Here is a 14,276-nt window from a genome sequence, read left to right as displayed (position 1 = left end):
CACACACACATACCACACAAACAACACTCACCATACACATAAACACACCCACAACACAAACACACACCCCACACACACCCCCACACCACACATACATACCACACAGATTACATACAAACACACACCACATACAACACACATACCACACACACACCACACACAAACACACAACACTCACCATATGCACAAACACACCACACCACACACAAACCACACACCACACACACCCCACATAAACACACAACACACACCACACACACACCACACATACACACACCACACATACAACACACACACCACACACCCCACACACCCCACACATCACACATACACCACACACATACGCATTACACACCCCCACACACACCACACATACAACACACCACACACACACCACATACACACACACACACACCTCATACATGCACCTCACACACATCACACACACCCCCACACACCACACACACCACACACATACACATACACACAACACACACCACATAACACACACACCACAGACAATACACACATACACATACACACCACACGAACATACCACACACATACCACACACACACACAGCACACACACACCACACATACGTATACACATCACACAACCACAAACCACACACACAACACATACACACAACACACGCACACAGAGCTGACCCTGTATATTACCAACCTTCTCTGAAAGCCTGCACGTCTAGAGAGAGGACCAGGAGTCCTGTCCCCCTCCCCCACTGCCACAGCCCCTAGACTGACCCCCGCTGGGGCCACCCCCATATTTATTTCCAGGCAATGAAGCAGGCCTGAAGAAGCCTTTTTTAACGGAGCATGTGAGGTCTTGGAGATAAAACACTCCTCATTTGGGCAGCTTCTGTTTTTGAATTCATGAATATCAATGGAGTCACATTGTCTATGCAAATGGCGTCCTGCTGGGCAGAGGCCAGGCCTAATTAAGACCCTGAATAATGCCCAGCTCTTGTTTCTGGTTTTTTTCCCCACCAGGGATGCAGAATTAATAAGAGCCCAAGCAAACCGTGAATCCTTTTGTTGGCAGAAGGGTCAGTAGCCACAGGGGGTCGGTCCTCAGGAGGGAATCAGGGTGCCCTGGATCCTGCAGAAGTGACAAAGCACGACAGAGGGTGGCTTGGCGGCTGCACCGATTTCAGGGCTGCGGGAAAGGTCCACTGTCCTAATGTGCCCACTCCCATCTGGCTGAAATTTGAAATTTCTTTAACAAGACACAAAGAGGTTCTATCTTAAAATTAGAAAGAATGTCTCAAAGACTCTGGCATGATAGTAATCAGGGTACGCTGGTATTAGAGGGGCCTTGTGTCCAGGGGTGGGGTTCTAGAAGGACACTGTTCTGGCTCAGATTCTGCTCATGAGCAAGCCTCTGTGTCCTCTTCATGAAGTGAAGGGGATTCTCACAGTTTCCAGGAAATGCTCCTAAATGGCACAGGAGGATGCCTGTGTGCCCGTCAAAGGGTCTGGGGGCTTCATCCAAATTAGCTGGCCCGCAGGTGTAATTTCTTTGAAGTGTAATATTTTATAGCTTTTAAATTCTATTGAATGTTGTGTCCTCCTTCCTTTATGACTATATTTGTTTTAATAAAAAATAATGTTTTTCCAAGCACCTTTGGCTCAAGTTAATAACCACGTAAAGCCTTCAGCTTACCTCCTGGGAGAAGGCACAGCCTGGGTGGAGAAGTACAGGGCATTGTTCCGGGAGAACACTCCCAGCTCTCACAGAGGCAAGAGCAAGTGAGCAGGGCAGGACCTGTGCCCCAGCTGGTGTGTGCATGTAACCGCTGGATGGGTTCACCTTGTCCGCTGTACAGACAGAGCTGATTTATCAAGACAGGGAAATTGCAATAAAGAGTTTATTAAATTTTAGACCAATATCCCTTATGAACATCGATGCAAAAATCCTCAATAAAATACTGGCAAACCGAATCCAGCAGCACATCAAAAAGCTTATCCACCATGATCAAGTGGGCTTCATCCCTGGGATGCAAGGCTGGTTCAACATATGCAAATCAATAAACATAATCCAGCATATAAACAGAACCAACAACAAAAACCACATGATTATCTCAATAGATGCAGAAAAGGCCTTTGACAAAATTCAACAACACTTCATGCTAAAAACTCTCAATAAATTAGGTATTGATGGGACGTATCTCAAAATAATAAGAGCTATCTATGACAAACCCACAGCCAATATCATACTGAATGGGCAAAAACTGGAAGCATTCCCTTTGAAAACTGGCATAAGACAGGGACGCCCTCTCTCACCACTCCTATTCAACATAGTGTTGGAAGTTTTGGCCAGGGCAATCAGGCAGGAGAAGGAAATAAAAGGTATTCAATTAGGAAAAGAGAAAGTCAAATTGTCCCTGTTTGCAGATGACATGATTGTATATCTAGAAAACCCCATCATCTCAGCCCAAAATCTCCTTAAGCTGATAAGCAACTTCAGAAAAGTCTCAGGATACAAAATCAATGTGCAAAAATCACAAGCATTCTTATACACCAATAACAGAAAAACAGAGAGCCAAATCATGAGTGAACTCCCATTCACAATTGCTTCAAAGAGAATAAAATACCTAGGAATCCAACTTACAAGGGATGTGAAGGACCTCTTCAAGGAGAACTACAAACCACTGCTCAATGTAATCAAAGAGGATACAAACAAATGGAAGAACATTCCATGCTCATAGGTAGGAAGAATCAATATCATGAAAATGGCCATATTGCCCAAGGTAATTTATAGATTCAATGCCGTCCTCATCAAGCTACCAATGACTTTCTTCACAGAATTGGAAAAAACTACTTTAAAGTTCATACGGAACCAAAAAAGAGCCCACATTGCCAAGTCAGTCCTAAGCCAAAAGAACAAAGCTGGAGGCATCGCGCTACCTGACTTCAAACAATACTACAAGGCTACAGTAATCAAAACAGCATGGTACTGGTACCAAAACAGAGATGTAGACCAATGGAACAGAACAGAGCCCTCAGAAATAACGCCACGTATCTACAACTATCTGATCGTTGACAAACCTCACAAAAACAAGAAATGGGGAAAGGATTCCCTATTTAATAAATGGTGCTGGGAAAACTGGCTAGCCACATGCAGAAAGCTGAAACTGGATCCCTTCCTTACACCTTATATAAAAATTAATTCAAGATGGATTAAAGACTTAAATGTTAGACCTAAAACCATAAAAACCCTAGAAGAAAACCTCAGCAATACCATTCAGGACATAGGCATGGGCAAAGACTTCATGTCTAAAACACCAAAAGCAATGGCAACAAAAGCCAAAATTGACAAATGGGATCTAATTAAACTAAAGAGCTTCTGCACAGCAAAAGAAACTACCATCAGAGTGAACAGGCAACCTACAGCATGGGAGAAAATTTTTGCAATCTACTCATCTGACAAAGGGCTAATATCCAGAATCTACAATGAACTCAAACAAATTTACAAGAAAAAAACAAACAACCCCATCAACAAGTGGGTGAAGGATATGAACAGACACTTCTCAAAAGAAGACATTTATGCAGCCAAAAGACACATGAAAAAATGTTCATCATCACTGGCCATCAGGGAAATGCAAATCAAAACCACAATGAGATACCATCTCACACCAGTTAGAATGGCGATCATTAAAAAGTCAGGAAACAACAGGTGCTGGAGAGGATGTGGAGAAACAGGAACACTTTTACACTGTTGGTGGGACTATAAACTAGTTCAACCATTGTGGAAGTCAGTGTGGCGATTCCTCAGGGATCTAGAACTAGAAATACCATTTGACCCAGCCATCCCATTACTGGGTATATACCCAAAGGATTATAAATCATGCTGCTATAAAGACACATGCACACGGATGTTTATTGCGGCACTATTCACAATAGCAAAGACTTGGAACCAACCCAAATGTCCAACGATGATAGACTGGATTAAGAAAATGTGGCACATATATACCATGGAATACTATGCAGCCATAAAAAATGATGAGTTCATGTCTTTGTAGGGACATGGATGAAGCTGGAAACCATCATTCTCAGCAAACTATCACAAGGACAAAAAACCAAACACCACATGTTCTCATTCATAGTTGGGAATTGAACAATGAGAACACATGGACACAGGAAGGGGAACATCACACATGGGGGCCTGTTGTGGGGTGGGGGGAGGGGGGAGGGATAGCATTAGGAGATATATCTAATGTTAAATGATGAGTTAATGGGTGCAGCACACCAACATGGCACATGTATACATATGTAACAAACCTGCAGGTTGTGCACATGTACCCTAAAACTTAAAGTATAATTGAAAAAAAAAAAGAGTTTATTATACATAGAGCTGTTACCGGAAAGGGGTCCCAATCCAGACCCCAACAGAGGGTTCTTGGATCTCACGCAAGAAATAATACAGGGCAAGTCCATAGAGTAAAGTGAAAGCCTGTTTATTAAGAAAGTAGAAGAATAAAAGAATGGCTACTCCATAGACAGAGCAGCCCCAAGGGCTGCTGGTTGCCCCTTTTTATGGGGGTGGTTATCCATGCTCCCCTTTTTAGACCATATAAATAGGCAACTTCCTGACATTGCCATGGCATTTGTAAACTGTTATGGCACTGGTGGGAGTGTAACAGTGAGGAAGGCCAGAAGTCATTCTTGTCGCCATCTTGGTTTTGGTAGGATTTAGTTGGCTTCTTTATTTCAGGCTGTTTTATCAGCAAGGTCTTTATGACCTGTATCCTGTGCTAACCTCCTATCTATCCTGTGCTAACCTCCTATCTCATCCTGTGACTTAGAATGCCTTAACCATCAGGGAATGCAGCCCAGTAGGTTTCAGCCTTATTTTTACCCAGCTCCTATTCAAGATGGAGCTGCTCTGGTTCACACATCTCTGACAGAACTGGCTAAATGGGAGACTGGAGTTTTATTATTACTCAAATCAGCCTCCCTGAAAATTTGGAGGCCTGGGTTTTTTTTGTTGTTTGTTTGTTTTAATAGTTTAGAATGCAGGGGGCTAGGAAATAGGGATTGTTTATTATTAGTAGAGTCAGGGATGGAATCAGGGAGACTAAATTGTCCTCTTGCACTGAGTCTGTTCCTGGGTGAAGGCCACAAGACCAGATGATCCAGTTTTACCAGTCTGGGTGGTACCAGCTGATCCATCAGAATACAGGGTCTGAAAAATACCTCAAACACTAGTCTTAGGATTTACACTAGTAATGTTATCTATGGGAGCAAGTGGGGAGGTAGGAATATCATGGCCTCTGGCTGCATGACACCTGAGCCATAATTTCTAATCCTGTGGCCAAGTTGTTGGTTTTACAAAGGTGGTCTGATCCCCAAGTAAGGAGGTGCTTTGTTTTGGAGAGGGGCTGTTACCATCTGTGTTTGTTAAAGTATAAACTAAATTCCTCCCAAAGTTACTTTGGCCTCTGCCCAGGAATGAACAAGGGCAGCTTGAAGGTTAAAGGGAAAATGGAGTCAGGTCAGATCACTTTCACTGTCATAATTTTCTCACTGTTACAGTCTTTGCAAAGGTGGTTTCCTGAGTGGCAATCACAGAACCTGAGGTCCCAGCTCGAGCTTTCCTTCCTATTGTGAAAGACAAGCCTTACGTGTTCATTCCACTGGGAGAGGGGGTCTAGAGGCCCACGTTCCCTCTCAAGAGAGAAGTGACCAGGTCTGTCCTAGCGCTATTCAAGGGAGAAAGGAACCACATGGGCAGCAGAGGAGCTCACCCATCTCTGCTACCCCCACAACTTTTCCTGACGTTGTGTGGCCACTATGTTATATGGGATTATTCTACACAATTACCTTTAAAGATCCTGATTCAAAACCCATGCCATTTTTGAGGCATTTTCATTTAAGGGCTCTTTGTGGGGTTTTGCCCCATCCCTACCCCAGGGCAGCTGGTCACGTCTTTGCATGCATAGGTCTCTGTTATAGCTGCCCCGCCGCCATTTCACTCTGATCACTTGGTCCCTCCCAGAAGTCGATCTTCTGATCCATTAAACATATAGTTAGGGGCCTACATTAGATAATTACAGCCTATTTGTTGATTTACTCATTTGACAAACATTTTGTACTAAAAAAAAATTAATGAACATCAAAAGTCAGCATCTCACATTTTCCTCTTGCCTCTATGGCCCGCCATCAGTGGTTCTATTTTAGGCCCTTGAAAGTGGTATCTACGTGGTCAATGTTAAACTAGGTGATCTCTTCTCTGGCTATTTACAAATTTGTAAGATCAGATTCTCTGTCAGTGGTTCACAACCCCCAGGGGACAGTGGTGGTTATGGAGACACTTTTGATGATCAGGATTCGGGAAGGACTACTGGCATCTGGGAAGTAGAAGCCAGGGAGGCGGCTAAACAGGCTACGTGCACAGGACGGCCCCCTGCCACCCCCACAGAGAACTGTCTGTCCAGATGTCAACAGTGCTGAAATTGAGAAACATATATAAATATTATACATACATATATATTCATTCATTCATTCATTCATATTTTGCCAAACACTTATTTTGAGCCAGGAGCATTTACTATGTGCTGGGCTTTGCTTCTCCATGCACCTTCCCCAACGGCTGACCCTGGAAGGCAGGGACTGTGTCTTAGTCACCTCTGCCCTCCTGGTGAGTCTTCAGGATTCTGACACAGCTATTCAGTGGATGTTCATTGAATGAATTGATTGTTTCAGTTTTCACAAGCTGCCAGTCACTGAGAGGAGGCAGATGTGGGGGGTGGGGGCAAATGAGCTCTTCAGTTTCTGCCATGGTAAAATTTTAAATATCATTTAAATGTTTTTATTGTGGTTGGTTTTTATTTTTATTTTTCCTTTTTTTTTTTTAGATTCATGGGGTCCATGTGCAGGTGTGTTACGTGGCTGTATTGTGTGATGCTGAGGTTTGGGCTTTAACTAAACCCATCACCCAAATAGTGAACATGGCACCCAATAGGTAGTTTTTCAACCTTACCCTCCTCCCTCCCTCCCCTCTTTTGGAATCCCCGGTGTCTACTGTTGCCATCTTTATGGCCATGTGTGCCCAATGCAGAGTTAAATTTGAGATGCCCATGAGACATCACGTGGAGATGGTGGGCAGGGAACTCAGGGACAGGGCTGGACTGGGGACATAAATGTGGAAGCCATCGGCATCTGAACGGTATTTAAAGCAAGGAAGTCGCTAGGGATTGTGGGCAGAGAGAGAAGAGCTGTTCCAGAGCCCTCCAGAGTCTAAAGGGGAGAGGATGAGGAACTCACAGAAGAGACAGAGAAGAGGTAGCCAGTGAAGCAGAGAAAAGCCTTGAGGAAGCCAGGGAAAGCCGTATCAGAAAGAAGTGAGAGATCCACTGTGCCCAGAGCTGCTGAGAGCAAAGGGGGTGGGGGCCGAGAAGAGAACACTGGACTTAACAGCATGATGGTCGTGCTGCCCTTGATAGAGGCTTCTTTCGAGGGAAAGCCTCTTTCAGATGCTTAAGAGAGAATGGGAGGGGAGGTACTGGAGACAGCGAGTCTACAGCGGATTTGCGTTTCGATGTCGAATGTGAGTCAGTAGTTGGGGTGGGCTGTGGGGTCGCCATGCTGTGTAGCTATCATGGAATGCTGCTAGGCTCTTGGGAATGATTCTGTAGAGGGAATATTGATGGAGGAGAGAAAGGAAAAACTGCTGGAGCAATACCTGGAGGACTTGAGAGGGGCGGGGACCAGGGCACCTGTAGAGGAGGTGGTTCAGGATGGAGCAGGGATGGCTCATCGTAGTAGGAAGAGGGCGCAGTGTGTGGGCACAGACCGGGAGGTGAGAGTATGGATGTGCTTGTGGCAGCACTTAGAGGTCCTCCTAAACCTTCAGTCTGCACACTGAAACAGGAAGCTGAGGGTGCGGTTGGGGGAGGAGGTGTAGGTGCTTTGAAGAGAGAGAGGTAGGTAGGAAATCATCATGTAGGATGATGTGGCAGCAAATGGATAATGCTGGAAACTCCATCCCATATCTGATCACCGCTCCAGCTCCCTGGACATCATTACCTGGCCCCGGTCTCCCTGCCCTGCCCCTGGCCTATTCTCCACAGAGAGGCAGTGATCTTTGTCATGCAGAAATCTCCTCCTGTCCCTTCCCCACTTGCCCCAAATCCTCCAATGGCTTCTCATCCAACTCAGTACAAAGGGGAAAGTTTTCCAAATGGTCTCCCAGGTCCCCCAAGGCCTGACTTCCTGTCCCCTCTGCCTCCCCCAACCTCTGCCAATCTCCCTGGCTCCCTGCACTCCCGCTGCACGCCAGGAGTGCTGCTCCTGCCCTGAGCATTTCTCCTTGGGGTGCCTTCGACCTGGAATGCTCTACCGTCGATGTCCTCATGGCTCCCCTCACTTCCTATAGGCCTCTACTCAAATGCTCTTTATCCATGAACAAGGGCTGCTCTGACCTCCCTACATAAGACAGCTGCCCCACTCCACCGCATGCCCGTCTCCTCTTCACTGCTGAGTTTTCCCACCTAGCGCTTAGCACCATGCATTTACTTGTTTATTGTCAGTCTCCCTCATTTAAAGGTGAGAGCCCTGACAACACAGCCTCCGTTTTCTTTATTGCTGTTTTGAGGAATAGCATCTGGAAGAGTATCTGACACATACAGGCCACTGAATAAATATTGGTTGACTGAATGAGAGGAAAGAAGGATCAATGGATGGATGGATGAAAGGAAGGAAGGATAGATGGAAGGAAGGAAGGATGAATGGATGGACAAATGGATGGGTGGGTGAGTAGATGAATGGATGAATGGATATACAGATTATAGTCATTGATTGATGGGTCATTAAGATATGACTACAATGAAGACATTCATTTCTACATGAGCAATTAAACCCCCTCCCAAGGAGGAATTTATAACAACAAATAAAACACAGAAACATATCTTACCCACTAAAAAGTCATTGGATGGATTTGTAGTCTAAACCTAGCAGAATTGGGGACAAATTCTATGCTCCGTGCTGCTCCAGGAGAGAGTAGAATGCCGCAGGAGCCTCTCTTCCCAGTAGAGACCTTGATGTGCGCCTGTGTTCTCTTCCCTGCCAGGATCATTCCTATTTTTCTTATCCATCGGCCTGAGAACAATATCCCGTATGCTACAGTGGAGGAGGAGCTGATTGGAGAATTTGTGAAGTATTCCATCAGGGATGGGAAAGAAATAAACTTCTTGAGAAGAGAATCAGAAGCTGGTCAGAAATGTTGCACCTTCCAGCACTGGGTGTACCAGAAAACAAGTGGCTGCCTCCTGGTGACGGACATGCAAGGTGAGGAAAGCAGCTTAGCCCAGGCTCCAGGGATGCTGTGGGCCAGAGATGTTCCTGTGGGTGGAGAGGGAGGGGAGGGAGAGGAAGGATAGGCCTGCTGGGTACCTTGAAACACCTTTACCTGCAGAAGCTGTTACTGATGCCTCCTCAGAAACAAGATTTGATAAAGGAGCCTGAAATAACCAGCCAGAGGGCCATTTCATTTTATTTTTATTTAAAAAAATTCTAGGGGGGGACAGGGTCTCACTCTGTCACCCAGGCTGGAGTACAGTGGCACGATCATAGCTTACTGCAGCCTTGAACTCCTGGGCTCAAGTATTCCTCCCACCTCAGCCTCCAGAGTAGCTGAGACTGCACATGCATTCTACCACACCTGGCTAATTAAAAAAAAATTTTTTTTTTGTAGAGACAGCGTCCTGGACGGTTTCCCAGGCTGGTCTCGAACTACTGGGCTCTAGCGATCCTCCCACACTGGCCTCCAAAAGTGTTGGGATTACAGGCGTCAGCCACTGTGTCTAGAGGTCATTTCGTTTCAATAATTCATGCCAATAATGCCTTCCCATTACAACAGGTAACCAGAGATTGGCTTTACTGTTCTATCCTCAATAGGCCTAAACTCAGCAATATATTCTCAAATCCAGATCTACCATAAGGTAAATTAAGATGTAGTACTTCATTCTCTATAGGCAAAAGAGTCTTTAGAATGCTTTAGATTTTAAGCTTCTCTGCTGAATGTATAGCATGTTTTCAATGTATACACAATTGTTTAGGAATACCATTTCTTCTATGGAATGGAGATGTCATCGTTAGGGTTCCCCTAAGACAGACCTGAGACAGGTACTCACATACAAATGGCTTATTTGAGAGGGGATCCCAGGAAACGCCAGTAGAGGAGTAGGGAAGTGCAACTGGGGAAGGAAAGGCGACTGGTAGAGTATATTATTAGCCAGTGACTGCCGTGGGCGCTGGAGCTGACATCTGCAGGGAGCCCTGCAAAGCACACTTCTCAGTGAGGGAGCCGGAGTGTGTATACACCAACTACCAGGATCACCAGCTGGCGGCTGCTCTGGGTGGGGGCATTACCTCCCTTGCACTTGTCACCTGCCCACATGGGCAAGCTAAGCCGGATAAAAAACATGATCAGAGAAAGTTCTTAAGCAGAGAAATGCTGGTGTGGCACTAAGAGGTGGAGCCAGGTGCACAGAAGTGGTTGGGGTGTGGGCAATAGGTAAGGCACCAGCAGCTTCTGCTGCAAGGGGTTTCCTATTTCTGTTTGCTGTTAAGAAAATCTGAACTATATTATTTTCTGCCTACCAAATGTCAGATATTGTCCCAGATGAGGATCTCAAGCTCTAGCTATTACATGGTGTTGAAGAGCAAGACCACCTTGGGGTTCTGTTCCCTGCACTGCCACTTCCAGCCTGGTAGCCTGTGGGCAAATTACCTTTCTCAGTGCTTCAGTAACTTCCACACAGAGTTGTTTTGAGAATTAAATGAGATAGTAAAGCGCTTATTGCAGCATTGCCACATAATAAATGGTTCCTATTTCTTTTAACCCATTTTTTTTTATTTGTTTGAGACAGGGTGTCACTCTGTCACCCAGGCTGGAGTGCAGTGGCGCAAACACAGCTCACTGCAGCCTCAACCTCCTGGACTCAAGTGACCCTCCTGCCTCATCCTGCCATGTAGCTGGGACTACGGGAGTATGCCATCACACTTGGCTAATTTTTTCTTTCCTTTTTTTTTTCTTTGTGTGTGTGTGTGTGTGTGTGTGTGTGTGTGTGTGTGTGTGTGTGGAGATGGGGTTTCACTTTGTTGCTCAGGCTGGTCTTGAACTCCTGGACTCAGGTGATCTTCCTGCCTTGGCCTCCCAAAGTGCTGGGATTAGAGGTATGAGCCACTGTGCCCCAGCCTTTATTCTGAAATAATTATAGACTCACAAGGATTTGTAAAAATATATGGAGTGATTCCCACGTATGCTTCACCAGCTTCACCTAATGGTGACATCTCACATAACTATAGTACATTATCAAAACCAAGAGATTGACATTGGCAGAATATAATCAACTACACTAGAAACTTGACTTGGATTTCATCAGTTTTTGTATCCATTCATTTTTTTCTATTATTTTTACTTAATCTTCATAATAACCCTGCAGAGAAGATAGATATTATGATCCCCATTTTACAGAAGAGAAAACTGAGGCCTGGAGACCGTGATTGTCTCTGTCTGCTGTCACTCAGCTAGTAAGTAGAGGGGTCCAAGACTCCAACCCGCATTTTCTGACTCTGAATTCCAAGTTCTTTCCACAAATAACAATTTAGCAAATTTGCAAGATATTTACTTCCAGACCTTTCCAAGTCTCTCCTGATGTTAGAGGGCTCTGGTATGTGTACGGTTCTTCCTCCTAAGCCCTTGGAAGGACTCCTTGCAAGCCAGCTGGGAAATGCAACATTACCGCCTTGCAGATGAAGCCAATCTGCAAATTTAAGTCAGACTTCACTCTTTGAAGAGACTTTGCTGCCACACACACACAAAACATATGGTCTTAACAGACAGCTGTTTGTTCTATTTAGACTCTGGCTGTGCAATTGCTGCTGTCCCCCATCTTTTCTCCTTGCGAATTAATTTTGTATTAAATTCAGCTCTCATGCTGAAAAGCAGCACCCAGGGCTTCATGCACAGTTAGTTTCACTTCCAGGTACTAGTAAACAACAGTAATGGAATATCACATCTCTCTGTAAATGACGTGTGTGGTTTAACGTGGTGGTGTGGCATTAAGTAATGGTGTTTATTTACTCTCTGTTGATGGACAAAAAATATTTTTACTGTCATTGTCATTGTGGCATGAGATAGCGCATCTATTCTCTAAGGAAACTCCACTTTTTATAATTTTACAGAGACACTGGAATTAGAATTAAACTCAAATTCTATCACCACCCTTTTGGACTTTTAAAAGTTAATTCTTCCTGGCTGCATTTGCTCATTTAGAAGATTATGCCAGGTCCTGCAGGTTTGTGGGGTAAAAGATGAGCCTGTGATTTGGACCTGAGACCTGCATGCTGGTGAGACTACCACGCCTTCTAACAAGCTGTCACCCAAAAAACTCAAGACCTTGAATTCTGGAGAATGAGCTTTTTTTTTTTTTTTAATTTTTTTGTATTTTTTAGTAGAGACGGGGTTTCACCATGTTGGCCAGGCTGGTCTGAACTCCTGACCTCAAGCGATCCACCTGCCTGGGCCTCCCAAAGTGCCGGGATTACAGGCATGAGCCACTGTGCCCAGCCAAGTGGAGAATGAACTTCTAATGCTGTTCATTTCCTTTCTTCTGTTAGAAACAACCTGTAGATTACTGTTATCTCCAACTCAGCTTGATAGCTGCACACTAGGATTTAACTTTAGACTCTAGAGATTCCTAGTAACCTTGACATAATTGCTGGCAAATCATTAAACTGACAGGGGGAAGTTTTCTTTTAAAAATTATATTCTGTCTTTCTAAACTGTAAGTGACAGCTGGTAATTGTGGGAAACAAGGGAAAGCAATTCTCCAAGTTCAAGGACCTTTTGCCAAATGACTTTTTCAAATTGGACTTCCATACGGCTTAGAGCTGTAATTTTAAAATACAATTTTCCATGAAACAAGATGTCCAGAGACAGCGTTTGCAATTTGGTGGGTTTTTTTTTTTTTTTTCAAAGCATAGTCCCTGCAATAAAAGCTATGTGAAGCATTTCTACATATGTTTGAGTTATTAGCGGCTTTGAAAGAATGAGATGAATTAGTTACCAACTGCGAAAGAGACTTTTAAAATGGTCACTGGTTCTCCCAAAGTGCCATGTCTAATTTAGCTCACAGGTGCACTGCAGAAAAGCAGGCCTCATGGCTTCTGTCTGCCTAACCAGCCTGAATCCCAACACGTCCTTTGTTTTTGCCATGCTCCCAGCAGATAACGCTGAATCCGAGCATTAATCCTTTAGCTGTCTTTTCCTGGGCCTCAGAAACAGCACTCCACTTGGGTGGGGAACCACGGAAGTAGGTGGCCAGCAGATCTGATCCTCATGGCTGGCTTTAGGGGGATGCTGAGTTTTTTTCTTTCCACAGCCCAAACTGGTTTCTAGGCTGCCAGGGCCCTCCATGGGCAAGTCACGTGCTGGAGGTGGGGAATGCCAGTGCTCACAGCCCGGCCCATGGAGCCCAAGAGGCAGGGGCAAGAGCACAGGAGGCAGGACCCAGGCATCTAGCAGGTGCAGACACACTGGTGGGGTGGCACTATGGGCCATGGGATAAAATGTCATCACTAGATTGCACGGGTAAGGTCCTGGCAGAGGTCCACTGCGTTGGAGCAAGTGCCCATAACCCTCACCCTAAGGAGACAGGAATGGAATTGGTGCGTGGTCAGGGCATGCAGATTCTGGAAAGGTCAAGAGGGAATCCACACTCTGGGCATCAGGGAAGTGCTTTACTTTCCACTAGACCTGAGAGAGGTTCAGGATGCAGGCTGAGACTGGGGGTAGAGTGAGAGAGGGTGGCTCTTTCCACTACAGAAGGGGATGGCAGCTCTTATCCTCCCTCACAGTGGAAAACAGTGGGATAGTCTATTCCCTTTGCCTCCCTGGCTCCCTAGCTACCCTCCCTACCCCTCCTGCTGGAAAGGCACATGCAAAAAAGGGTTCCATATGCTTGCAATGGGTGCCTATTGCTTTTTGCTGAACCAGAGTGGGAAGCTCAGGTAGCTGTTCTACTGTTTTGGTTTTGATATCCCCCACCTATCCCCACCATGGTTTAGTGGGTAGCAGTTAGGATGAGTCCAAGGACCACGTGTTCCAAATGTCTGCTTCGCCAGGCCATTGGTTCAGTGTCTACATAGAACTCAGGATTGTTTCCCGGGGTCTAACACTGACCACCCAGAAAACCTTCAGTCCTGAATTGAAAAACGATCTTTATGGAAATGAGAAATCATATGTCT

The 14,276-nt window shown here is 45.2% G+C and overlaps 1 protein-coding gene across 1 annotated transcript in view, besides 2 other annotated features; it reads left to right on the top strand.

Annotated features, from left to right (window-relative positions):
• The window catches only part of ALPK2 (alpha kinase 2), a 147,845-nt gene that overhangs the window by 115,850 nt on the left and 17,719 nt on the right, over positions 1-14,276 (top strand). The window contains exon 11 of the mRNA NM_052947.4: positions 9,094-9,311. Coding sequence (NP_443179.3) covers positions 9,094-9,311 — 218 coding nt within the window. The remainder of the gene's footprint in view (positions 1-9,093; positions 9,312-14,276) is intronic.
• Positions 200-969: an enhancer, noted in NCBI's record as "OCT4-NANOG-H3K27ac hESC enhancer chr18:56179505-56180274 (GRCh37/hg19 assembly coordinates)". NCBI's record gives its function as "activates a minimal SCP1, AML or CMV promoter by ChIP-STARR-seq in primed H9 embryonic stem cells {active_cell/tissue: H9 hESC(primed)}" and the evidence as "EXISTENCE:reporter gene assay evidence [ECO:0000049][PMID:30033119]".
• Positions 970-1,741: an enhancer, noted in NCBI's record as "OCT4-NANOG-H3K27ac hESC enhancer chr18:56178733-56179504 (GRCh37/hg19 assembly coordinates)". NCBI's record gives its function as "activates a minimal SCP1, AML or CMV promoter by ChIP-STARR-seq in primed H9 embryonic stem cells {active_cell/tissue: H9 hESC(primed)}" and the evidence as "EXISTENCE:reporter gene assay evidence [ECO:0000049][PMID:30033119]".

The sequence above is a fragment of the Homo sapiens genome, chromosome 18 (assembly GCF_000001405.40).
Source record: "Homo sapiens chromosome 18, GRCh38.p14 Primary Assembly".
Lineage (NCBI taxonomy): Eukaryota > Metazoa > Chordata > Mammalia > Primates > Hominidae > Homo > Homo sapiens.
The sequence above is the reverse complement of the archived record's forward strand: the minus strand, read 5'-3'. Positions and strand labels throughout refer to the sequence as shown.